Here is a 25,219-nt window from a genome sequence, read left to right on the forward strand (position 1 = left end):
GGAAAAAAAAAAAAAGGCTAGGCGCTGTGGCTCACAACTGTAATCCCAGCACTTTGGGAGGCCAAGGCGGGCGGATCTCCTGAGGTTGGGAGTTCGAGACCAGCCTGACCAACATGAAGAAACCCCGTCTCTACTAAAAATATAAAAATTAGCCGGGCGTGGCAGTGGGTGCCTACAATCCCAGCTACCCAGGAGGCTGAGGCAGGAGAATTGCTTGAACCCAGGAGGCAGAGGGTGCAGTGAGCTGAGATAGTGCCATTGCACTCCAGCCTGGGGAACAAGAGCAAAACTCCGTCTCAAAAAAAAAAAAAAAGCCTGGCAGAGCTAGCTGGAGGGTTTGATGGCAGCAGTGTCTGCAAAGGCAGTTTGCATCTTCGTCATGTGGGGCCTTCAAAGGCAAAGCTGAGGAGCTGGGCTTTAGGCTAGAAGCAATGGGGAGTCACTGAACATTTTTGAAAAGAGAAACGCTGTGATGCAAACAATGTTTTAGAAAGACCTGGTGACGGAGCATCAGAGGAGCTCAGGGGCAAACCTCCCCGCCCTACCCTATCCCCCTCTGTTCCCCATCATCTTCTTTACTAAGTGACTCCTGACTCTCTCTCCCTGTCTTCTGCCCTCACCTGCAGGGAGGCACCTCCCGAACTAACAACTTGGAGACCGGGCCCTCCACACGGCTGTTCCAGGTCCAGGGAACTGGCGCCAACAACACCAAGGCCTTTGAGGTCCCAGCGCGGGCCAATTTCCTCAATTCCAATGATGTCTTTGTCCTCAAGACCCAGTCTTGCTGCTATCTATGGTGTGGGAAGGTGTGTTCAGGGTCTAGAGGCCTCCCCATCCGCAAGTGGGTCCTGGGAGTCCCCCAGTTTCGCAGCAGCCCTAGGTCAGGGCAGGAACCCCTGGCCAACTAAGTTGTGCCTGCTCAATTCTCAGCCGCCTCTGGAGCCCAGTCTCTCCCTCCTCAGTAGCTCTGGGTCTATCCTTCTGCCTCATCAATGACCATCCTCAGATTCTCTGCCTCTCTGTCGGAGTCAGTCTCTCTTGTTCTGTTTCTCTGGCCACCTCCATCTGTCCCTGTGTTGGTCTGTCTTTATGTCTTGGGCTCTCTCTCACTACCCTGAGCCTGTCACTGCCTCTCCTTTGATCTCTGTAAGAAGAATGCATAGCCTCTTGGAGTCCCTCTCGAACCTTGAAAAGACTCTCTAGTTTCTTCTGCTATTCTTTGGAGTGTCAAGGACAGAAGAAAGCATGGAATTGTCCCTGTGTGGCCTGTATACACAAGGTCCTGACCCAGGAGAGCCCTCTTTGACCCCTGAACTCTGGGCAGTGAATGTAGTAGGAGGGTGGAGGTAGGGGTGGCACTAGAAATTAGCCAACTCTTTTTTTTCCTAGGGTTGTAGCGGGGACGAGCGGGAGATGGCCAAGATGGTTGCTGACACCATCTCCCGGACGGAGAAGCAAGTGGTGGTGGAAGGGCAGGAGCCAGCCAACTTCTGGATGGCCCTGGGTGGGAAGGCCCCCTATGCCAACACCAAGAGGTAACTCTCAGGTCCCTCCGCCTCCAGGTTACCAAGGTGGGGGAGCCGCCCAGCATCTCCATCCCTACACCCAGAGCCTACAGCAGGCATGGACTGAGGACTCTGTGTGTCAGGCACTGTGCCAGACCCCCAGGGCTACAAGATGAATAAAGGGCAGCCCATACCCTTGGAGCCTCTTGGCACAGGGGCTGTGTCTGTGCTGCTCACTACAGTATGCCCAGGACCTGGTGGGGTATTTCCTTGGCAAAGGGAATTCCTGGCCATAGGAGGCAGCTCAAAGCAAGGGGCAGGGCTAGAGGTTTGCCTTTCAGTAACAAGATGCCAGAGGCCAGCCTGCTTTTAGGTCCTGACACAGGCCTGGGATGCTGAGGAGCCCCAGCCACAAGCCCTCTTTCAAATGGTTTTGTTTTGTTTTTGTGACAGAGTCTCGCTCTGTCAACTAGGCTGGAATGCAGTGGTGCAATCTCAGCTCACTGCAGCCTCTGCCTCCGCCTCCCAGGTTCCAGCAATTCTCCTGCTGCAGCCTCCTGCGTAGCTGAGATTACAGGCGCCCACCACCGTGCCCGGCTAATTTTTGTATTTTTAGTAAAGACAGGGTTTCACCATGTTGGCCAGGCTGGTCTTGAACTCCTGACCTCAGGTGATCCACCTGCCTCAGCCTCCCAAAATGCTAGGATTACAGGTGTGGGCCACGGTGACTGGCTCAAATGGTTTTTCTAGAGAATATCCATGATCTACTAGTCCCTAGTTCAAAAGCAAAAGGGCATGTACTGTAGTAGCAGTAGGAGGGATGGAGGGAAGATATCAGGAAGAACTTCCTAACAAGGCTCTGCAAAAGACACTGGAATGCATGTCCAGAAAGCAGTGACAATTTCTTCCTCAGAGCACTCTTGGAATGAGAGGGGACCCTTTTATCAATCAGAAGATAGAGCATTTTGCTGGAGATGACCTTTCTATGCCAGAGTCCCTTCCTCAGAGTTCTGTGTCCTCAATTCTCCTTTTGCCACACCTTCCTTCTGCCAGTACAATCTTCTCTCCATCCTGCAGACTACAGGAAGAAAACCTGGTCATCACCCCCCGGCTCTTTGAGTGTTCCAACAAGACTGGGCGCTTCCTGGCCACAGAGATCCCTGACTTCAATCAGGATGACTTGGAAGAGGATGATGTGTTCCTACTAGATGTCTGGGACCAGGTAGGACCAAGGGCCTGGGGACCCCTCTTCCCAGCCACCTCAATCCCCAGGGCCAAGAAAGAGTGGCTTTAAGGTTAGGTAAGTGTCAATGTTTTCTTGGCCCTTACATAATTTCTCCCTGGAAATGGTATGAACACCAGAAGTGTAAGAAAGAAGGAAGGTGGGGAGGAACATGCTCAGAGGGGCTGCAGGGAAGAACGTATTCTCTCCCAAAGTCCTATTTATTTCACATGGCAGCAGGAGTGTTTTTGAGAATCCTGGGCTTTGGACAGTCTGGGAGACACACATTTGCAGAATATCCAAGTACAAGGCATCTGTCCAACCTTCTAATTTCCCAGATACAAATTCAAGGCCAGATGATGCCTGCCCTAGGTCATTTGGCTGGTAGTGGTAGAGTCAGGGTCAAGGTCAGGGTTTCACTGTTGGACAACTGAGGCAGAGCCCTGTGGGCCAGGGAGGACAGGAAGGATGGACTGATCCCCTGGGTTTCTCAATAGGTCTTCTTCTGGATTGGGAAACATGCCAACGAGGAGGAGAAGAAGGCCGCAGCAACCACTGCACAGGAATACCTCAAGACCCATCCCAGCGGGCGTGACCCTGAGACCCCCATCATTGTGGTGAAGCAGGGACACGAGCCCCCCACCTTCACAGGCTGGTTCCTGGCTTGGGATCCCTTCAAGTGGAGTGTGAGTGGCCTCATCCCAGCATGTCCTTCTCTAGCCCTGCCTGGAGATCAGTGCTGATTCCTGCAGGCCATTCTGTCTCTTTGGGATATATGACCTGCTGATTTAGAAAGGGGCTAGAGGAGGCTTAGAATAGAAAGTAAGGCTGCACTAAGGCCATTAGGCCTCTGGTGAGAGGGAAGAAGTCTATCAAAAACCAAGGCTAATTATAGTGCCTTGTTTGTGCACTACATTTAGAGCAAAGCTGCTGGATAGTATAGGTAAGAAATGTACTGATTACTTAAATTAAAATTAAACACAGTTCAAAATTCAGTTTGTCACTAGCCACATGTGGCAGCTGGCTACTGTGTTGGGCAGCAGAGGTGAGAATGTTCTCATCATTGCAGCAACATGGTGGATCCTCCATGCCAGCTGAAACACGTTGGTTCTAAAGGACTGACAAATGTCTTCCTGGTGCTAAATTCTAAGCAAAATGGGTCATGTGTGTGGTCCTTACCTGAGGGATGGTGTGCCAACCTCCCACGGGGTGTTTCCTAAACTGGCCCCACATAGAAGCAAGGGGCAGATACCCACAATGGAACTCCAGCAAAGGTTTTCGGTAGGAAGAAGGCCAAGGTACAGTGAAGCCTGGCCTGGTGGCTCTGGGTGCTCTAAATTGTCACAACAGATGGCTTTAGGGAAGCAGAAAGCTTAATTTCCTTAAATTTGTTGGTTTGTTTTTTTAAATTCTGCAGTTAGATGGGCTTTTAGTTTTTACTCAAGGCAGCATATCGAGATGCCAGGTTTTCTCAATCCACTTTAGTTATCACCTTTCCCTCACCTCAAGTGTGTGCTGGCTTCTCTCTCAGCCTCATTCACTCATTCATTCATTCATTCATTCAGCATAAGTGTGCTCTAGGATATGGAGATGGGACTCCTCAGAGCCATGGTCCCTTCACTCCTCTGTGGCAGGGCTCCCTTCTATTATCTGGGGGGACCCCCACCCATCCCCAGGAGCCCTGCATTTCCCAGAGCCTACATAGCCTAGGCAGGGTTCTCCATACTGCCTGTGGGTTCTTGCCCTGGCCCCTGCAGGTGGCAAAAGATCCTGCCCATCCCCATGTCAGGCTGAGCTGGGACAAATATAGCCTGCGCTCCACTTTTCTGATCTGGCAGCCCCTCTGGTCCCAATCTCACCATCTAATCTCCTTTTTCAGGGACCCTCCTCCAGCCTCAGCCTTCATATCCTCTTTCCTTTCTTACCACTAGGCCCCAGACCAGCCTTCTTTTCATTCCTGAGGGAAAATGGCTTCTCATCCATCTCCTCTGCTGAGATCCAGGTCTAATCTGTTATTTACTTTATGTGCAGAACACCAAATCCTATGAGGACCTGAAGGCGGAGCTTGGCAACTCTAGGGACTGGAGCCAGATCACTGCTGTGAGTCCGGGGCGGGGTGGCTGGGCCCTGCAGTGGCCAGCTGGTGGTCAGACCTGTGGGAGCCAAGAACGCTGCAGAGAAGACACCAGAGTCCTGTGCTTTCCCTCCTATTTCTCCCCCACTTCTCATTCTTCTTGCTGTTTTACTTCAGTGCCTCTAGTGGTTTTGTTTCCTCAATTTCCTAGTGAAATGGTTCTCAATTTTTTTTTTTTTTTTTTTTTTGAGACACAGTTTCACTCTGCCTCCCAGGCTGGAGTGCAGTGGCAGGATCTCAGCTCACTGCAACCTCCACCTCCTGGGTTCAAGTGATTCTCATGCCTCAACCTCCCAAGTAGCTGGGATTACAGGTGTGTGCCACCACGCCTGGCTAATTTTTGTATTTTTAGTAGAGACGAGGTTTCACCATGTTGGCCAGTCTGGTCTCAAACTCCTGACCTCAAGTGATCCACCAGCCTCGGCCTCCCAAAGTGCTAGGATTGCAGGCATGAGCCACCACACCTGGCCTGGTTCTCAAATTTTATCATGCATAGAAGTCGGGGAGATGGGGGCAGGGAGTGAGGGGGAAGCATATTAAAATGCAGATTCCAAGGCCCCATTCCCAAATATTCTGGTTTATAGACTTAGAATTGGCACCTAGGAATCTGCATCTTTTAAATCTTATTTTAAAAAGGTAATTTCATGTAGTTAGTCCATGGACTACACTTTGAGAAATAATGCTGTCTCTATACTCCATCACCTTTGGGATCCCTTCTCTAGGTAGAATAACTACAACTCCTTTGGTCTTTCAGTGAGTTAACAGAAGTGTATTTAGGCTGGGCACAGTGGCTCACGCCTGTAATCTCAGCACTTTGGGAGGCCGAGGTGGGTGGATTGCTTGAGCCCAGGAGTTTGAGACTAGTCTTCGTAACATGGGGAAACCCCATCTTTACAAAAAATAAAAAACAGCCAGGTGTGGTGGTGCGTGCTTGTGGTCCCAGCTACTCAGGAGGCTGAGGTGGGAGGTTGGTTTGAACCCAGGAGGCAGAGGTTGCAGTTAGCTGAAATTGTGCCACTGCACTCCAGCCTGGGCAACAGAGTCAGACCCTGTCTCAAAAAAAAAAAAAAAAAAAAACCCGAAAAAAGAAAAGAAAAAAAATGTATTTAGCCTTTAGGCCTGGGACACGGGAATATGAAATCAAAACCTTTGCTTTGAGAAGTTCACAGGCTTATAGAGAGAACAAGACAGAGCTAACTCTGAGGAATGTGTCCAGAATTCAAGAGCAAGTTCACAAGCACACTGGGGTATAATCAACAGATGGTCAAAACCTGCAGCACTCATGAAACCCTTCTTGGTGGACTGACAGTACAGACTGGCATGTATAGATAGGTCAAGGTTAAGTGAATTTATAGATGACAATTTCACAACAGATAAGAGAGACAGGGTCATAAATATCCAGGCTAGATCTCCAACTCTGGGGAAAGCCATGGGAAAGTTAATGAATCGTTAAAGAAAAGAGTCATTTTCCACCAATGGACTTCGGTCAGAACAGACCACTAAGCTCTATGTTGTTGTTGTTGTTGTTTTGAGGAGTCTCTCTCTGTTGCCCAGGCTGAAGTGCAGTGGCGCAATCTCAGCTCACTGCAACCTCCACCTCCCAGGTTCAAACGATTCTCCTACCTCAGCCTCCTGAGTAGATGGGATTACAGGCGCCTGACACCACACCTGGCTAAGTTTTGTATTTTTAGTAGAGATGCGGTTTCACCATGTTAGACAGGCTGGTCTTGAACTCCTGACCTCAAGTGATCCACCCACCTCAGCCTCCCAAAGTGCTGGGATTACAGGCGTGAGCCACTGCACCCAGCCTATGTTGTTCTTATGAGTGTGTGTGTGGCAGGGTGGGGTGGGACATGGGAGGCTTCTTGAAGGTGGTGCCCTAGAGACTTCAGAGAGAAAGGCAGCCTGGGAGGTAGCTGTGCACCAGCTAAAGTAACCAGTGGTTTCCTTTTCTTTCCTAGGAGGTCACAAGCCCCAAAGTGGACGTGTTCAATGCTAACAGCAACCTCAGTTCTGGGCCTCTGCCCATCTTCCCCCTGGAGCAGCTAGTGAACAAGCCTGTAGAGGAGCTCCCCGAGGGTGTGGACCCCAGCAGGAAGGAGGTAGGTCAGATTCTCAAAGGAAGACAAAGAAGTCCATTTGTTGGACCACCATAGTTGACTCCCAGATTTGGCCCTGCAGGTGACTAGGTGCTGGGGATGAACAAGACAGATGGGATCCTGCCTTCATGCCACCTTATATCCCAGGAGGAGAGAGATCAGAGAAGCCTGGTTACACTATTATTTAATTTCAGGGTTAAGTGCCAGAAAGGTGAAGTACAGGAGCTGTGAAGAGTATTACAAACAGGGCCGGGTGCAGTGGCTCATGCCTGTAATCCCAGCACTTTGGGAGGCCGAGGTGGGTGGATCACCTGAGGTCAGGAGTTTGAGACCAGCCTGACCAATATGGGGAAACCCCATCTCTACTAAAACTACAAAAATTAGCCAGGTGTGGTGGTGTATGCCTGTAATCCCAGCTACTCGGGAGGCTGAGCCATGAGAATTGCTTGAACCCGGGAGGTGGAGGTTGCAGTGAGTCAAGATCATGCCACTGCACTCCACCCTGGGTGACAGAGTGAGACTGTCTCAAAAAAAGAAAAAAAAAAAAGGTATTACAAAGAGGAGCCTGATTTAGAGATTTCTTTCTGAAAGACAAATAGGAATTATTGAGGCAAAGTAAGTTAGTTCTGGAGAAGGGACAGCTAACATGAAGCCCAAAGGCAAGGAATAAAAATGGGGGCAAAACTGCAAGAGGGCCAGAGTGGCTGTGGTGGTGTGCAGAGCCAGGGAGGGAGGCAGGGCTGAACTGGCAGTGCCTTCTACCCCAAGTTAAGGATCGTATCATGTATCCTGGTGGTGAAGGGGAGTATCATTATGGTTGAAGTAGCAGAGTGACAGACTTACATTGGCCTGGCACGGTGGCTCATGCCTGTAATCCCAGCACTTTGAGAGGCCGAGGAATGCGGATCACCTGAGGTCAGGTGTTCGAGACCAGCCTGGCCAACATGGTGAAACCCCATCTCTACTAAAATTACAAAAATAGCCGGGCATGGTGGCTTGTGCCTATAATCCCAGCTACTCGGGATGCTGAGGCAGGAGAATCACTTGAACCCAGGAGGTGGAGGTTGCAGTGAGCCGAGATTTCACCATTGCACTCCAGCCTGGGCGACAAGAGTGTAACTCCATCTCAAAATGATAATAATAATAATAATTATAGCTTCTCATCGAACAATAGCCTGGAAGGTGGCAAGAGCAGCCATAGGAACACCAGTTAGGAGAGACAGCACAGCTGCTCTCAGGCCGACAGGTAGGTGGGAACCTAGAACAAGTCATGGTGGAGGAGGTGGAGAGAAACATTTAGGAGGTAAAATCAATGATATTTGGTAATTACTGGATAAAGAGTATGAGAGAAGAGAAAATAGCATCATTCTCCAAGATAGAAAACTGGATCAGGCTGAGCTTAGGGGAAGACAATCATGAGTTTGGTGGTAGCTATGTCCTTTGAGGTTTAGATACATGTTCAGTGGGCAAGCAATTCAGAGGAACACCAGGGCAGAGATATGAATTTAAGACTCATCAGCACATGGTCCATCTGGTAACTGGGGTTAGCACAGCAAGAAGAGCTTGTTCAAAACACTTTTTGTGTATGTGTGGGGAATGGAGTTTGGGGCTGGACACTTTTTTTTAAATTTTAGATAAGATCTCACTCTGTTGCCCAGGCTGGAGTGCTGTTGCAATCATGGCTTACTACAGCCTCAACTTTCTGGGCTCAAGTGATCCTCCCACCTCAGCCTCCCAAAGTGTTGGAATTACAGCGACTGCACCCAGCCTAAGAACACATTTCTAATATTCAATCCCACTTCATGAAGATCCAAAATAGGCTGCCAATCTAGCTTAGGGGTATTGAGAGGAGAGATAATATACTCTGTATAATAAGTCATAAAGTAGTCTTACAAATGAATCAAGGGATCTACAGAAGAGAGATACCTAGTTTCTCTCTCAGAACATCAAAGTCTGTTAAGGGTTTCGGCTCAATATTTATATAAGTGTTTTGTTCTCAGAGAATTTCAATTCTGCCTTTTACCTTAGAGAGCACATTCCTGTGTTCTCTCCTGGATTCTCCCACCTGTGAGGTTGCTGGGAGGCTAGGAGGCACATGGGTCCTCACTGTAACATTGGGATGATCCCTGTATGATGACAAGCTAAGCCCAGCCCTTGGTACATAGTACTCTACAAATGAAAGCTGTTATTATTGCCTGTTCTACACCTGAGAAAACTGAAGTCCAGAGAGATGAAGTGACTTGCCTAACATTACTAGTTAGTTGCAAAGCCAGAGCAAGAACCAGGCCTTCAGAGTCCCACTGTTACCATCATGCCATGCAGCATAAAGGAGGTATTTCTTTCTTTTTTTTTTTTTTGAGATGGAGTCTTGCTCTGTCGCCCAGGCTGGAGTGCAGTGGCGCGATCTCGGCTCACTGCAACCTCTGCCTCCCAGGTTCAAGCGATTCTCCTGCCTCAGACTCCAAGTAGCTAGGATTACATCCGCACACCACCACGCCTGTCTAATTTTAGTATTTTTAGTAGAGACGGGGTTTCACCATGTTAGCCAGGCTGGTCTCAAACTCCTGACCTTAGGTGATCTGCCCACCTTGCCCTCCCAAAGTGCTATTACAAGCATGAGCCACCACGCCCGGCCAATAATGGAGGTGTTTCTAAAGGAGGACAGCCAATGTTATTGAACCAGAGGATTGATGGAAGGCAGAAATGGATTGCTAATTTTAAATAGACAGACTCAAGACAGCCCCATTATGGTAGAAGCAGTCAAAGAAGGCTTAGATTCTTTTGTAAAAATCAGTTTTCTGTGGTTTTTTTTTGAGACAGAGCCTCTTTCTGTTGCCCAGGCTGAAGTGAAGTGGCACAAGCTTGGCTCACTGCAACCTCCGCCTCCCGAGTTCAAGCAATTCTGCTGTCTCAGCCTCCTTAGTAGCTGGGACTACAGGCGCACACCATCACGCCTGGCTAATTTTTGTATTTTTAGTAGAGATACGGTTTCACCATATTGGCCAGGCTGGTGTCCAACTCCTGACTTCAGGTGATCGACCTGCCTCTGCCTCCCGAAGTGCTGGGATTACAGGCATAAGACGCTGCGCCTAGCCTGTGGCTGATTTTTTTGTTTTGTTTTTTGAGATGGGGTTTCACTCTTGTTGCCCAGGATGGAGTGCAATGGTACAATCTCGGCTCACTGCAACCTCCACCTCCCTGGTTCAAGCAATTCTCCTGCCTCAACCTCCCAAGTAGCTGGGATTACAGGCGTGCGCCACCATACCCGGCTAATTTGTTTTTGTATTTTTAGTTGAGACAGGGTTTCACCAGATTGGTCAGGTTGGTCTCAAACTCCTGACCTCAGGTGATCCACCCGCCTCAGCCTCCCAAAGTGCTGGGATTATAGGCATGAGCCACCACACCTGGACTGAAGCTGATTTTTTTTCTTTTTTTTTTGAGATGGAGTCTTGCTCTGTCGCCCAAGCTGGAGTGCAGTGGCACGATCTCGGTTCACTGCAAGCTCTGCCTCCTGGGTTCACGCCATTCTCCTTCCTCAGCCTCCCGAGTAGCTGGGACTACAGGCGCCCGCCATCACGCCCGGCTAATTTTAGTATTTTTAGTAGAGACGGGGTTTCACTGTGTTAGCCAGGATGGTCTCGATCTCCCGACCTTGTGATCTGCCCGCCTTGGCCTCCCAAAGTGCTGGGATTACAGGCGTGAGCCACCGTGCCCGGCCGGCCTGTAGCTGATTTTTTAATCATGGAAGTAGTATACATTCTTGTGGGAGAGCTGAGTTCAGTGTCATGTGGGAGTGTAGGAGAGGTTTTCAGATCTCTCTGTCTGCTCCAATCTTGCAAGGTGAGCCAGTGACAACAGTGGGGTGGTGGGTCTGGCTGCAGGCAGAGCAAGATAGTAATCTAAGTATTTGTGCACTGATGAGTAAACAACAGGGAGGCGGATGTAGGCATGGGTGAGGCTGGTAATCAGCTGGCAGGACTGCAGAGTTCAAGAACAGGACCAATGGAAAGATACAAGTCCACTAGGATGGGTAGTCCCTGCTATCTAGCCTGAGGGGTCAGAGTCCAGCAGTCTTGACAAAGCGGAAGAGCCAGCCTGGCTGGACCAGAGAGAGCAAAGACCTAGGACATAGCAGCCACAGCTGTGAGGAACCTGGGGGGAGGGTGCTACAAACAGATTTGGGGTATGGCAGCTTCTCCCCATCCACTGATCCCCAAATCATTTATATTTACTCTCTTCTTCCAAAACCAAGTACTCAGCCGAGTGCGGTGGCTCATGCCTGTAATCCCAGGCACTTTGGGAGGCCAAGGCGGGCAGATTGCTTGAGCCCAGGAGTTTGAGACCAGCCTGGGCAACAAAGTGAGACCCTGTCTCTACAAAAAATACAAAAATTAGCCCGGTGTGGTGGCGTGCACCTGTAGTCCCAGCTACCTGGGAGGGTGAGGTGGGAGGACTGCTTGAGCCCAGGAGATTGGGGCTGCAGGTGATCTGTGATTGTGTCACCACACTCCAGCCTGGGTGACAGAGCAGGAGGACCCTGTCTCAACCTCCCCGCCAAAACAAAAAGAACCCCCAAACCAAAACCAAACACTTCACTACCCTGCCTCAGGGAGTGGGGAAGGCTTCCAGGAACCTTAAGGAGAGAATGCCCAGGGTGGGAGGCAAATCTATTGACAAGTTAGAGACTGGAGCATCAGACCCCCCTGAGGTTGAAATCCATCTATAGGTGTTTACTAAGAAGCTGTTTAATTCAGGGCTCTCTGTGGGAGTCAATAAAATGTTCCCTAGGGCAACTCCACCTTAGCAGAGCAGCCTAAGTATTAAAGGAAACCCACAGGTCTCACCTCTACCCTGTCTACCTCTTGGTGCTTAGAGGAGCAGAGATGAAGGCAGGGAGATGATGTTTTATAGCAACTTTAATTAGGGACTCTTAACTGAGTGTGCCTTGAGGGTATTTAGCTTGCCTTAAACAGTATCATTATCATCTTAGTGCTGGGAACAAAGGTCATTTCAGTGAATTCCTTCATCTTATGGCTGAAGACACCCAAGGCTTAGAAAGGTAGTGACTCCAGTTGTGATTTCTTAGCCAAGAGTAAAAAGGTAAAATTGTGCTATCTAATCTTCTGGATCATTCACAGGATGACAGAAGCTGGTACAAGTTGTTTATACAAATATTTTTTGACTCAAAAAGCTAGGCAAAATTTAGTTCTGAATTTGATCTTTGGCCTTCCTAGTGTCTTCTTTTGGAATCCTTCCCCCGACCTCAGTTGTACCTTCTGCCGCTACCCTCCCGCTCTAAGCAAAACCTGCTCCTACAAAATAATCTGACACATTCACAGAAGAATATAAAAAACTGATGAGGATTAACAAGTTGTCTTTTCTTTTCTTTTTTTGAGACAGAGTCTCACTCTGTTGCCCAAGCTGGAGTGCAGTGCCATCATCTTGGCTCACTGCAGCCTCCGCCTCCCAGGTTCAAGCTATTCTCCTGCCTCAGGCTCCCGAGTAGCTGAGAATACAGGTTCCCACCATCATGCCTGCTAATTTTTTGTATTTTTAGTAGAGATGGGGTTTCACCATGTTGGCCAGGCTGGTCTCGAACTCATGACCTCAGGTGATCCACCTGCCTTGGCCTCCCAAAGTGCTGGGATTACAGGTATGAGCCACTACGCCTGGCCAACAAGTTGCCTTTTAACTGGGAACCAAACCTGTAAGCCAAGAGTGATGAAGCTATCCATAATGGTAAAACTGTGGCCAACTGCAAGTGTTAATAGTTTACCTTGCAGGTCTGGGAGTTGAAAGCTGACAAGAGGGCTTTATAGTATACCTGAAACTCAAGGAATACTCAAGGAAGAAAGTCAGTATGGTGCAGTGGAACATATGTTGTAATCAAGTGACCTTGACTTTTTTTTTTTTTTTTTTTTTGAGACAGAGTCCCGCTCTGTTGCCCAGGCTGGAGGTGCAGTGGTGCGATCTCGCTCACTGCAATCTCCGCCTCCCAAGTTGAAGCAATTCTCCTGCCTCAGCCTCCGGAGTAGCTGGGATTACAGGCGCCTGCCACCACACCAAGCTAATTTTTGTGTTTTTAGTGGAGACAGGGTTTCACCATGTTGGTCAGGCTGGTCTCGAACTCCTGACCTCAAGTGATCCACTCGCCTTGGCCTCCCAAAGTGTTGGGATTACAGGTGTGAGCCAACGCGCCCGGCCTGACTTTCTTAAACTTTAGCTGCATCATGTGAAAATGAGAACATTCAAATCCGCCTCAGTTCCTTTCTAAGTGCCACAGCAGTATATGGAAATTAGATTCCTGCTTTGCTCCATCCATTAGGGCTGGATTGGGCCCTACTTCCCTTGCAGGCAGTCTGTTAACTTGAGCCAAAGCAAAGTAGGGCCCAGGAGGGAGACTTCTCCTGAGGGTGACAGGCTTTTGCTAGAAGAGTTGTATGTCCTGTGACAGCAATAAAATCTTTTTTTTGAGACAGGGTCTTTCTTGTTCTCTCACTCAGGCTGGAGTACAATGGCACTATCTTGGCTTACTGCAACCTCTGCCACCTGGGCTCAAGTGATCCTGCCACCTCAGCCTCCTCAGTAACTGGGACTATAGGCGTGCACCACCATGCCTGGCTAACTTTTGTATTTTTTTGGTAGAGATGGGGTTTCACCATGTTGCCCAGGCTGGTCTTGAACTCCTGAACTCAAGCAATCTGCCTGACTTGGCCTCCCAAAATACTGGAATTACAGACGTGAGCCACCACACCTGGCCCTAATAAAATCTCATTTACCCAGACTTGAGCAGATACCCTTATAGGGCTCATCTGCTTACTTTGTGGGCAGCTTGGATTCACTGTTTAAGTGGAGGTAAATGAACAACATACTTTGTTTTGTTTTTTTTTTGAGATGGAAAACTGTTGCCCAGGTTGGAGTACAGTGGCACAATCTCAGCTCACTGCAACCTCTGCCTCCTGGGTTCAAGCAATTCTCCTGCCTCAGCCTCCAGAGTAGCTGGGATTACAGGCGTGTGCCACCATACCTGCCTAATTTGTTTTCAGTATACTTTCATATGTAGTATTATTTTCATTTTCATAAAAGCAAGTGAAAATTTGCCTTTAAGAAATGTTTCTGGCTGGGGGTGGTGGCTCATGCTTATAATCCCAGCACTTTGGGAGGCCAAGACGGGTGGACTGTTTGAGCTCAGGGGTTCCAGACCTGCCTGGGCAACATGGTGAAACTTGATCTCTACAAAAAATACAAAAATTAGCCAGGTGTGGTGGTGCATGCCTGTGGTCCCAGCTACTCGGGAGGCTGAGGTGGGAGGATTGCTTGAGTCCAGGAGGTTGAGGCTGGAGTGAGCTGAGATTGTGCCACTGCACTCCAGCCTGTGTGACAGAGCAAGACCGTTTCAAAAAACAAAACAACAAAAAACAATGGCCAGGCATGGTGGCTCATGCCTGTAATCCCAGCATTTTGGGAGGTCAAGGCGGGCAGATCACTTGAGGCCAGGAGTTCGAGACCAGCCTGGCCAACAAGGCAAAACCTCATCTCTACTAAAAATACAAAAATTAGCTGGGCATGGTGCCAGGTGCCTGTAGTCCTAGCTACTCAGGAGGCTGAGGCAGAGTTATTTGAATCTGGGAGGTGGAGGTTGCAGTGAGCCGAGATCGTGCGCCACTGCTCTCCAGCCTGGGGAACACAGTAAGACACTGTCTTAAAAAAAAAAAAAAGTTCCCCATTTAATAGAGAGGAAACTAAGGCTTGGAAAGAGGAGTCCTAATTCTTATTTGGGCTAATGTGAACTTGACCCTTGTACAAAGAAAATCTCAATCTACCACACTACTATCTTTTTCATTGTTAAAAATTCAGGGATCAGGCCAGGTGTGCTGGCTCACACCTGTAATCCCAGCACTTTGGGAGGCCAAGTAGGGTGGATCACTTGAGGTCAGGAGTTCGAGACTAGCCTGGCCAACATGGTAAAATCCCGTCTCTACTAAAAACACAAAAGTTACCAGGGCATGGTGGCGCATGCCTCTAATCTCAGCTACTTGGGAGGCTGAGGCAGGAGAATCACTTGAAACCAGGAGGCGGAGGTTGCAGTGAATTGAGTTCATGCCACTACACTCCAGCCTGGGCAACAGAACAAGACATGGTCTGGAAAAAAAAAAAAATCAGGGATAAACCTCTGGAATACCAAAATACCATACTCTCCTCCTCTCCATCCCTTTCCTGGCTCTCCTGACACTGCTTCTGTTTACTCTTCATTTATTTGATTATATACCACATCTATGACTCATCAGAGCAAACGGTGCCTGAGGGTGAGGGAGGAAGGAAGGATATGTGACCTTTGCCCTCTGGTCCCTCTCTTCTTCTAGGAACACCTGTCCATTGAAGATTTCACTCAGGCCTTTGGGATGACTCCAGCTGCCTTCTCTGCTCTGCCTCGATGGAAGCAACAAAACCTCAAGAAAGAAAAAGGACTATTTTGAGAAGAGTAGCTGTGGTTGTAAAGCAGTACCCTACCCTGATTGTAGGGTCTCATTTTCTCACCGATATTAGTCCTACACCAATTGAAGTGAAATTTTGCAGATGTGCCTATGAGCACAAACTTCTGTGGCAAATGCCAGTTTTGTTTAATAATGTACCTATTCCTTCAGAAAGATGATACCCCAAAAGGAGCCTATGGTCCTCATTTCAACTTCTAAGGTCGCTAGATTGTTTCTATCCTGAGGTATTGCATCAATTTTAATACTCCTATAGTTTTCTCTTCTTAGAAGAGCACAAACACTCCATGGAACATTAGAGTTCTGAGGCACTACCCTAGCTTGTCCTCTATCATGACTCATTTTTATCTATGGCAGGTAGGCTGAAGCACTTTGCAGGTTTACATCTTCCCCAGAGTAACAGCTTTTCCTTTTCACATATACTTTCCTTACTGCCTTACTCAGTGGGTAAGTTAAAGGGCTGAAGGAGAGTTGAATGGTCCACAAGACTACCCTCTTAAGAGGTTTCACAAATTCCAAACAGTACCAGTGAGAGCAGCACTTCCACTGGGGCTAGGCTTGAGACCTAAAGGCAAGTATGAAATGCATATGCTACTTCACTCCCTCTCCCAACCCTTAATAATGAGGCAAAGCAAGAGCCTAGTGAAGGCCAATGCTAGGTTTACAAACTTACCCAGAAGCCTCTGCAAAGCTTCACAGGCTCCTCAGATGAAAATAACAGGAATCAATGGGGACTACGGCCAGACACTGGTTTGCCATTCTGTTCCTTTTAAGAAGTAACAGTGCTGCAAGGAAGTCCATGTCAGAAAGCCAACAGAAGGTGATTTCCACAACTTTGAACAGGTTGTTACAAGTATCAGCAAGAATGTGTCCTTTTCAGAAATAACAGTCAAATCAAAGAAGGTTAATAAAGGCTTTAATTTCATACACACAAAAAAACTCTATGCATAATTTAAAAAGGAAACAAAAACAAAGAAAAACCGTAAAGGATACAGAGGAACAGTTCTGCTAAAACACAGATAAAAGTGCCGCTCCATACAAAACATAAAGAATCAGAATCAAAAGTCACTCTGAACATAAAGAAAAAAAATCATCTCACAAATAATGTGGCCACAGCTGCCAGAAAACCTGGTAGTGGCTCAATTAGGCAAAGTGTAGGAATCTCATTTTTGTTTTTCTCTCCTTAAGTTTAAAGAAACAACAATGACAATAGGCCAGAGAAGTTAGGGAGGGAAAGAAAAGCTCAAAGGGAGGGAAACCTGGGGACAAGAGGTGTGCACACCCACATGTGGTCTCACTCTTCACACAGGCCCACTATTTTTGAAGTAGACCAGTTTAGTTGACTGTTCTTCTTTGTTCTGGCATCTGACTGGACCAACCTGGAACCTGGTCCAGACCCTCACCCACTCTATTCTTATGCCAATGGACATACCTATACTTTGAACCTCTGTACTTTTAAGAAAAGTCCAATGTTACAAAATCAAATGCTTATATTCAGACTGGCACACTTTTTAAATAAAAACTCCATACACCTCAGACATATAGCACACATGGAGACAACTTACTAATTGTGTGTAAGTATGATACAATGAATGAGACTGCCTGAAGTCTAGTAATCAAAGCATGCCATAAGGTGAATGATTGTGGTTAAACACAGCAAAATAATTGTCACAAAACTTTCAAGGCCTAACAAATTAGAATTTTCCAATAAAAAATATATATTTTTTCAGATGTTAATAAGACATATCAGTAGAGACAAAATTAGGATTTTGAAGTAATGCAATAAAAAGATGTTGGAGGGCAGAAGTCTATTTAGTTTTTGTATACACTTGCAAGAGTGCATTACTCAGTATAAAGCAAAATGGGGAGGAAAAAGACATCCATCCATTTTATTGGAACACTTTTATGTGACTTGAATCTGGTGTTAGGTTGTTGATTTTTCTAAAAATCTCCTATATATACAAAATCCATATGTACTTGGAGATCCAGCTGTTGCCCCCTGTTTAAAACAAAAGACCACCTCGGGGGGTCAATTAAATTAAAAAGGCCCTCCAACCACCCTAAATGGGATAACTAAGAGTATCTACTGCAGTCATTTCAGAGGACAGAGAAGGAAAATATTTTAATTTGCTTTAATATAACCTCTTTTCAGTAGATCACAAATGAGTTTACAAACTACTTTTTTTTCTCTTTAATTTAGGTGTTTGCAGATAATTTTCATTATATCCGTAGCTGTATGTGTGTATAGTTACATAATGGTAACTACACACGATACAGAAGAATCAGTAAATTCATGGATTATTTTGCTGAGGTTTTAAATTTTAAAGCCTCTGTTTCAGAATTTTATACTTGATCAAGGAGAAAAATAAATGTGTAGTCTAACATTTGCTTTCTGGAGTTAATTAACTGATCTGTAAGAACCACTGCATATGTCTTAAAATGTAAACATATTTACATTTGTTGTATTTGTTATTGAGCCTTTAAGGTTAGGCCCAGAATGAACAGACCATAGCAAGTAAACAAATAATTTTTAGAATCAAAGTATTAATAGAAGACCAGTTCATGGATTTGCTTATTCTATCCTGCTGAGACAAAACTCATGAGTGTGCACACACATGTGAATATATCCCTACGAAACAGTCTATCTTCTCATAGGCTTAAATTATAGTCATGGCTATTAAAGAAATTAACAGCATCCAGCCACATGCAACTTTCCAACCTTCAGTACTATTAGGTGATTAAAATCAACAAATATGAAGTTTAGTTCATTTTTCCCTTAAAATTCCAACAAAGATCAAAAGGTTGTATCTAGAACTAATTGCCATCAAGTTCCAATTCAATGTCATTTAAAGTAATGTAACCACACATTTGGTATTTTCAATAGGAAGGTTAATTAGGTATTGTGCAAACTGCCTGCAACGGAAGCACTCAGTCCTTATCTAACTTGTCCCTTCCTGGCCCCAACATGCTAACTGCCCCATCCCCAATTCTGGGCAAACTGATCACAATGTGCAAAAAATAATATATTATCTATTTATAATTTTAAAATATATACAGCCAGCTCAAAAACAACAACAAACCCCATCAACATAGTCCAGCTGAAATCTCCACTGGTAGTCAAAGAAGTAGATTAAAGGAGTAAAGGAAGGAGAAGGCTGATAGGGCCACAAGAATGGACAGACATCAAGTAAAATTTGAGTCCCAAACATGCAAGTACATGAGCAGTGAGATAACTTATATATTCCAATAACCTATTTTCAACAACTCCTGCCCAAGACATGAAGATCAAATCAGGTTTCTGAGGTAAGTGTACTTCTAAACCATACACACATGAAAGCTATGAAAGCAATTCAAATGAGGCTGCTTCATGAGGCAATCTAGACTTATGGCATTATTTCTACTTTTCTCCATGTTTTAATTGCAGCCTGCACTTTAAATCTTTCCCAATAATTTTTAACAGTGCCTCTCAAATGCAAAGACACGTAAAAGAATTAATAACTAGCCAAAGAATTTTATCACCGCTTCACTCATTTATAAGAAAACCAATTATTTCCAAGCAAAATCAAACCAAACCAAAGAGGCTCCTGGTAGAAATGAAACAAAACTTTAAAGCTAGTTTTAAAACAAATATTTTCCTCTGCTCTAAACTACTCTGGCGTTTTCTACCACTCTACCATTTTGGAACATTCATTACAATAAGGTATATAGGTAGATGGTAGGAGGCAAAGCATTTATCAGTAGTTGAGCAAAACTGCTGAGGCCATTTATAATTCAAAGAATGAAAACTTAGAATAGTTTACTACATTAGAATACATCCAAGTTCCAAGAGTAGGACTGGAGCTCTCTTAAGGCAATCTTTCAGAAAAGATGTTGCATCTTCTGTGATGATGGTTTGTGTTTTTTTTGTTTTTGTTTTCGTTTTTTTTAATGAGATGGAGTCTCACTCTGTCACTCAGACTGCAGTGCAATGATGCGATCTCAGCTCACTGCAACCTCTGCCTCCTGGGTTCAAGTGATTCTCTCATGTGATGGTGGGTTTTTAAATGTTTTTTCCTTCTGAAAACCTGATGTGGTTTTGTCCCTACCTCTGAGAACTAAAGAATAATCCCCTTGTTTATAATAAAAGAAAAAACACGAAAGAATATAATGATGGTTTCATTTTTCTATATTTAACTCTGTGTGATCCTAATGATATCTGGGCTCACAAAATTATTTTGTGGACAGAATTCCATCCTCAAAAGAATTCTTTATATGGTTTCATAAGCTGCTTAACCAAGCTGGTTACGTCAGCTAAGTGACTAGCATAGCACTTAATGTTGCCGCTCTACTTTGCCTCAACTCAGAGCACCTAAAAAGTAGATAAATAAATTATGCACCTTTGTTATTTGTTAGTTTTTGGGATTACCTAAGCCAATCACATTTTAATTGCAACCCTATTTTAAGGGCAAAGCCAGACAGTAAATGGTTAAATGCCCAAGGTTTGTCCTACAGCTCAAGTACTTAATTTCATACTTGCAATAGGGCTTTTAGCTTCAGTGGTCCAGAATTTTAGCTTTACCAGAAGAACACTCTTCTTATCCTCCCTATGTTTGAGAGACAGAGATGCTAGCATTCTTCCTTATCCCTAAGTATTCCTGCTGGGGAGTCCCAATTGGAGAAATATTATCTTTCTACTTGTTTAAAGTTTTGGTTGCAATCCATTAGGGTAATGCTGCTCCATGGCAGAATGACAAAAAAGAAAAAAGATTCTATCTTTACCACCATAATAATGATGATGATATATGATGAACATACTGTGTGAAGAAATCTCCTTAGAGAAAACAAAGTATATAAGAAATATCAAATGTGGGACTGTAACATATTCCAAAGCACCAACAATCCATTTCTTGGGACTGCATGTAAACAGCAAAGACATCACAAATTCATGAAATTTGCAGACAACAACAACAACAAAACAGCTCCTCAAGTCAGGTGACAGTAATGCCCCTCTCTTGCAAAGAGAACAAACTGTCATTAGTGTAACATGAAGAGCTGGCTTTCCAGTGAATTTTACTAATAAGGAAACACAAAAGGTTACAGACTTGAGTGAAACTACTCAAGGAACATAAAAGCTAAAAGCCAACTGATAAGTATGTCTTCACACATTTCTCAGGTGAATGGACTCTTTGACACCTTCATTTCTTCTCCAAACTGCTGTGCTATTAATTTTGAGCAGGCATATTCTGGTGGCTCATCCTAACTCTTTAAGGCTCCATTCATCCCGTGTGTGTGTGTGTGTGTCTGTGTGTGTGTATACACACATACACAGATATATATTTACAACATGTATTCCTAAGACAAAAGAAGTGCCACTCATAGGAGAAAAAGAGGATAATCAGCTACGGATGTGAGACCAAAGTTTCCATAAAATAGCATGGAGCATTCTACGTTACTCCAATTTTTGTCTTTTGGTTTGGCCCTGAGCTGTTTGTTGCTCCCGCATCAAGTAGAATTCCAAATTCTCCTTCAGCAGAGGAAAGGTGAGGTGGGCAGCAGTAACAAATATGCAGTGCATGCTGCCAACCCAGGAGTTTGTTCCTCACAAGGCCTGACGGGTAGTCTTCCCCACTTCCGTGCTAAGTGACTGAGAGTTCTTTTCTGTTTCCAGCAGCTCATCAAAGATCTCCCTTAAGATAAAACAAGCAAAAAATAAAACTGGAAATTTAGTAAGCAGAACCAAAGAATAGGCAGGAGAAAAAGTAAAATAAAATTGATATGGATAAGGCCTTCACAATTCCATTTCATGCCTGTATTTTATTTAAAAAGCAGCTCACTCATTTGATCTTAACCCTTTGAATGCTGATTTTTAAGAATAGAGGGGAACTGACAACAGTTAGCTTTAATGAACATGCTAGGTAATTCCCATCCATATAAATCAGATCTTCTAGCTGATAAAACTGGATGACCAAAACTATTTATGACAGGACATCTTCTATCATAAAACAAACTGTCTTAACTTCCATACCTAGATACAACTGTGTAATGAGCAATTAATGCTGAGTTATGAGAGAAAATATTCTGGACTTACAAGGAAATATCAAGAGATAGACCCTAACCAAAGATGATAAAAACCAAAAATTTTCAACCAATCAACTGATGGAAACATTTTATCCTCAAAGGAAAAAAAAAAAAAAAAAAGAGTTCCGGTGATTTCTAACTCATTATTTAGAATCTGGCAAAGTTTCTTACTTGTGCATATAAAAGAAGATGTAGCCACTCCGATCTCGATCACTCTGCACGGCAGCCTCTTGGATTTTTGATACCTCCAGGTCATTGTAAGTAAACCACGCTTGCTTCTTAATGTCATATACATCACTAATGTAATGACCTGAAACAAATAACATCTTAAAATCAAGGTTTTTAAAAACACACCGAAGCTGGGCGCGATGGCTCACGCCTGTAATCTCAGCACTTTGGGAGGCTGAGGCAGGCGGATCACGAGGTCAGGAGTTTGAGACCAGCCTCACCAACATGGTGAAGCCCCGTCTCTACTAAAAATACAAAAATTAGCCAGGCATGGTGGCGTGCGCCTGTAGTCCCAGCTACTCAGGAGGCTGAGGCAGGAGGATTGTTTGAACCCAGGAGGTGGAGGTTGCAGTGAACCGAGATAGCACCACTGCACTCCAGCCTGGGTGACAGAGTGAGACTCCATCTCAAAAAAATAAACAAAAACGCATTAATTTTATCTCAGGTGCAGGAAGTTTGAGAAAGAAAAAAAGCTACCACATTCACCTTATCCTCAACACTGTGTCTAAAACCCATTGAAGAAACATACAGGCCAGGCACAGTGGCTCACTCCTATAATCCCAGCACTTTGGGAGGCCAAGGCAGGAGGACTGCTTGAGGCCAGGAGTTTGAAACCAGCTTGGGCAACAAAGCAAGAACCCGTCCATACAAAAAATTTAAAAAAATTAGTCAGGTGTGGTGGCATGCACGTGTAGTCGCAGCTACTCAGCAGGCTGAGGGAGGAGGATCTCTTGAGCTCCTGAGCCCAGGAATTCAGTGCTGCAATGAGCTAATGATGGTGCCACTGCACTCCAGCCTGGTGACAGAGTGAGACCCTGTCTCTTGAAAAAAAAAAAAAGAAAAAAGAAGAAAAAAATATTTGTATATACACAGAGAATCAAGGAGGCATATGCTACACTGGTACACCATTTTTGATTAATGTATTTTGTTCAGGGGAATTTAGGTCACTTATGAATTGAGAAATCAAAACAGTTACACCTATTAACACAATGCACATTGAGTGTGATCAAAGTAGATTTCAAAGATTTTCTTGAAAAACTTATACTTCGTGGGCTGGGCATGGTCGCTCACGTCTGTAATCCCAGCACTTTGGGAGGCCAAGGTGGGTGGATCTCTTGATCCCAGGAGTTCAAGACCAGCCTGGCCAATATGGTGAAACCCCATCTCTACTAAAAATGCAAAAATTAGCTGGGCGTGGTGGTGCATGCCTGTAATCCCAGCTACTTGGGAGGCTGAGACAGCAGAATCACTTGGACCCAGGAGGTGGAGGCTGCAGTGAGCCGAGATTGTGCCACTACACTCCATCCTGGGCAACAGAGTGAGACTGGATCTCAAAAAAAAAAAGAAAAAGAAAAAGAAAAACACACTTCACAAAGCTAGGCAAAGAGCAATATAATAAAGAGCAAATGCTGACTAGTTCATTTATAAAATGCTGAAATCATGATGGCTATTCACCTGAAGAAGAAGTGCTACCAATGTGACTGACAACACTGATGAGCCGGTACGAATGAGGCAGATTTCCTGTCTGGAAAACAGAAGTGGGTATAACTTTTAAGTCTTCATTTGAATAAAAGCAAAACACTGAATATAAATTTATTATCAAAGCTGACATGGCTAAGCTTTGGTATGTGGCATAGTAAGAATCAATTAAAAAATCTGTTCATACCCTTTGACCCAAGAATTCCACCCTCAACTAAGAATTTATTCTAAGGAAATAAGTCAAAAGAAGAGTATATGTATCAAATTATTTACTGTGGCATTATCTGGTGAAAAGCTGGAACCAACAATATATCCAATAATAGCTAACTGGTTAGTATATCAATTCAATATAATAATGTTCAGTTATATAAAAAAACTACATGGATCAGGAACATGTTAACCTTTTTTCCAAACCCATATGAATGCACATAGTAACTATAACTCTATTAAAAAAATGTTACGTTAAGAGTTAGGCATTGGACAATAGAACAAAAATGTTAAAAAGAGTTGCTATGTTGCTGTAGGGATCAGAGTGAACTTTTATATTTTAAAAAATATGATTAAAATATTTTTGGTAAAATAAAGCAAAACTGAAAAAGTGATATTCATGCACTGCAGACAGCACTATAAGGTAAAATTTGGGGAAGGAAGGCCAGGCGTGGTGGCTCACGCCTGTAATCCCAGCACTTTGGGAGGCCAAGGTGGGCAGATCACGAGGTCAGGAGATTGAGACCATCCTGCCTAACACAGTGAAACCCTGTCTCTACTAAAAAAACACAAAAAATTAGCTGGCGGGCGCCTGTAGTCCCAGCTGCTCGGGAGGCTGAGGCAGGAGAATGGCATGAATCCAGGAGGTGGAGCTTGCAGTGAGCTGAGATCGGGCCACTGCACTCCAGCCTGGGCGACAGAGCAAGACTCTGTCTCAAAAAAAAAAAAAAAGAAAAGAAAAGAAAAGAAAAAAAAAATTGGGGGAAGGAATATGGCTATATGTAAACCAGAAACTTAAAATGTTCATAAACTTCGATTTAGTAATTTACTTCTGGAGAATATAAAAGGAGAAATTCTAAAATATAGAAAATGCATGAGCCAAGAGCACACGCCACTGCACTCCAGCCTGGGTGACAGACAGACCTTGCCTAAAAAAAAAAAAAAAAAAAAAAACAACTCTATGTTTGGCCAGGTGCAGTGGCTCAGGCCTGTAATCCCCATACTTTGGGAGGCAGAGATGGGTGGATCCCTCAAGGCCAAGAATTTGAGACTGGCCTAGCCAACATGGTGAAATTGCATCTCTACTAAAAATACAAAAATTAGCTGGGCATAGTGGCTCATGCCTGCAATCCCAGCTACTCAGGTGGCTGAGGCACAAGAATCGCTTGAGCCCAGGAAGTGGAGGAAGTTGCAGTGAGCTGAGATCGTGTCACTGCACTCCAGCCTGGGTGACAGAGCGAGACTCTGTCTCAAAAAAATTAAAAAATAAAATAAAATAAAATAAGGAAAATGCTATAAGCATACAGTTTCCCAACTTATTATCATAGTGAAAAATTAAAAACAACTTAGACAAATACTCAATGTTAGCTAAAAGTTAAATAAGTAGGATATTTATTTGAGGCAATATAGTACAGCCATTAAACATAAGCTTATAAATAACTACTCTTTAAGAAACAGGATAACCTGGGTGTGGCAGTGTGTGCCTCTAGTTCCAGCCATTTGGAAGGCTGAGGCAGGAAAATCCCTTGAGCCCAGGAGTCTGAAGCCAGCCTGGGCAACACAGTGAGACTCTGTCTCTAGAACAAAAAAGCAAATGAAATAAAAACTATACTTACGACTTTTTAAAAAGTATACATGGAGGTGAGAATAACAAAGAAATATGTCAAAGTGCTGAGAGTAATTGTGTTAGGATGGTAGGATCCTGGATAATCAAAATTTGAGGAGAAAAAGCAATTATTTAAGGGGGGAAAAAGGGTTAAAAAAAAAAAAACAGTTCAATGTGCCCTAATTAACAT

At 44.8% G+C, this 25,219-nt stretch overlaps 2 protein-coding genes across 2 annotated transcripts in view; one reads left to right on the plus strand and one right to left on the minus strand.

The window, feature by feature from the left end:
- The window catches only part of VIL1 (villin 1), a 34,173-nt gene extending 14,777 nt beyond the window's left edge, over positions 1–19,396 (plus strand). The window contains exons 14-20 of the mRNA NM_007127.3: positions 627–806; positions 1,390–1,535; positions 2,583–2,727; positions 3,225–3,413; positions 4,759–4,827; positions 6,823–6,963; positions 15,324–19,396. Of these exons, the coding sequence (NP_009058.2) occupies positions 627–806; positions 1,390–1,535; positions 2,583–2,727; positions 3,225–3,413; positions 4,759–4,827; positions 6,823–6,963; positions 15,324–15,437 (984 nt within the window). The 3' untranslated portion in view covers positions 15,438–19,396. The remainder of the gene's footprint in view (positions 1–626; positions 807–1,389; positions 1,536–2,582; positions 2,728–3,224; positions 3,414–4,758; positions 4,828–6,822; positions 6,964–15,323) is intronic.
- Positions 16,352–25,219, minus strand: part of USP37 (ubiquitin specific peptidase 37) — a 118,101-nt gene continuing 109,233 nt past the window's right edge. The window contains exons 24-26 of the mRNA NM_020935.3: positions 23,193–23,262; positions 21,681–21,819; positions 16,352–21,118 (exon numbers count right to left, since the gene is read on the minus strand). Coding sequence (NP_065986.3) covers positions 21,031–21,118; positions 21,681–21,819; positions 23,193–23,262 — 297 coding nt within the window. The 3' untranslated portion in view covers positions 16,352–21,030. The remainder of the gene's footprint in view (positions 21,119–21,680; positions 21,820–23,192; positions 23,263–25,219) is intronic.

This window comes from Homo sapiens, chromosome 2, assembly GCF_000001405.40.
Source record: "Homo sapiens chromosome 2, GRCh38.p14 Primary Assembly".
In the NCBI taxonomy this organism is placed as follows: Eukaryota; Metazoa; Chordata; class Mammalia; order Primates; family Hominidae; genus Homo; species Homo sapiens.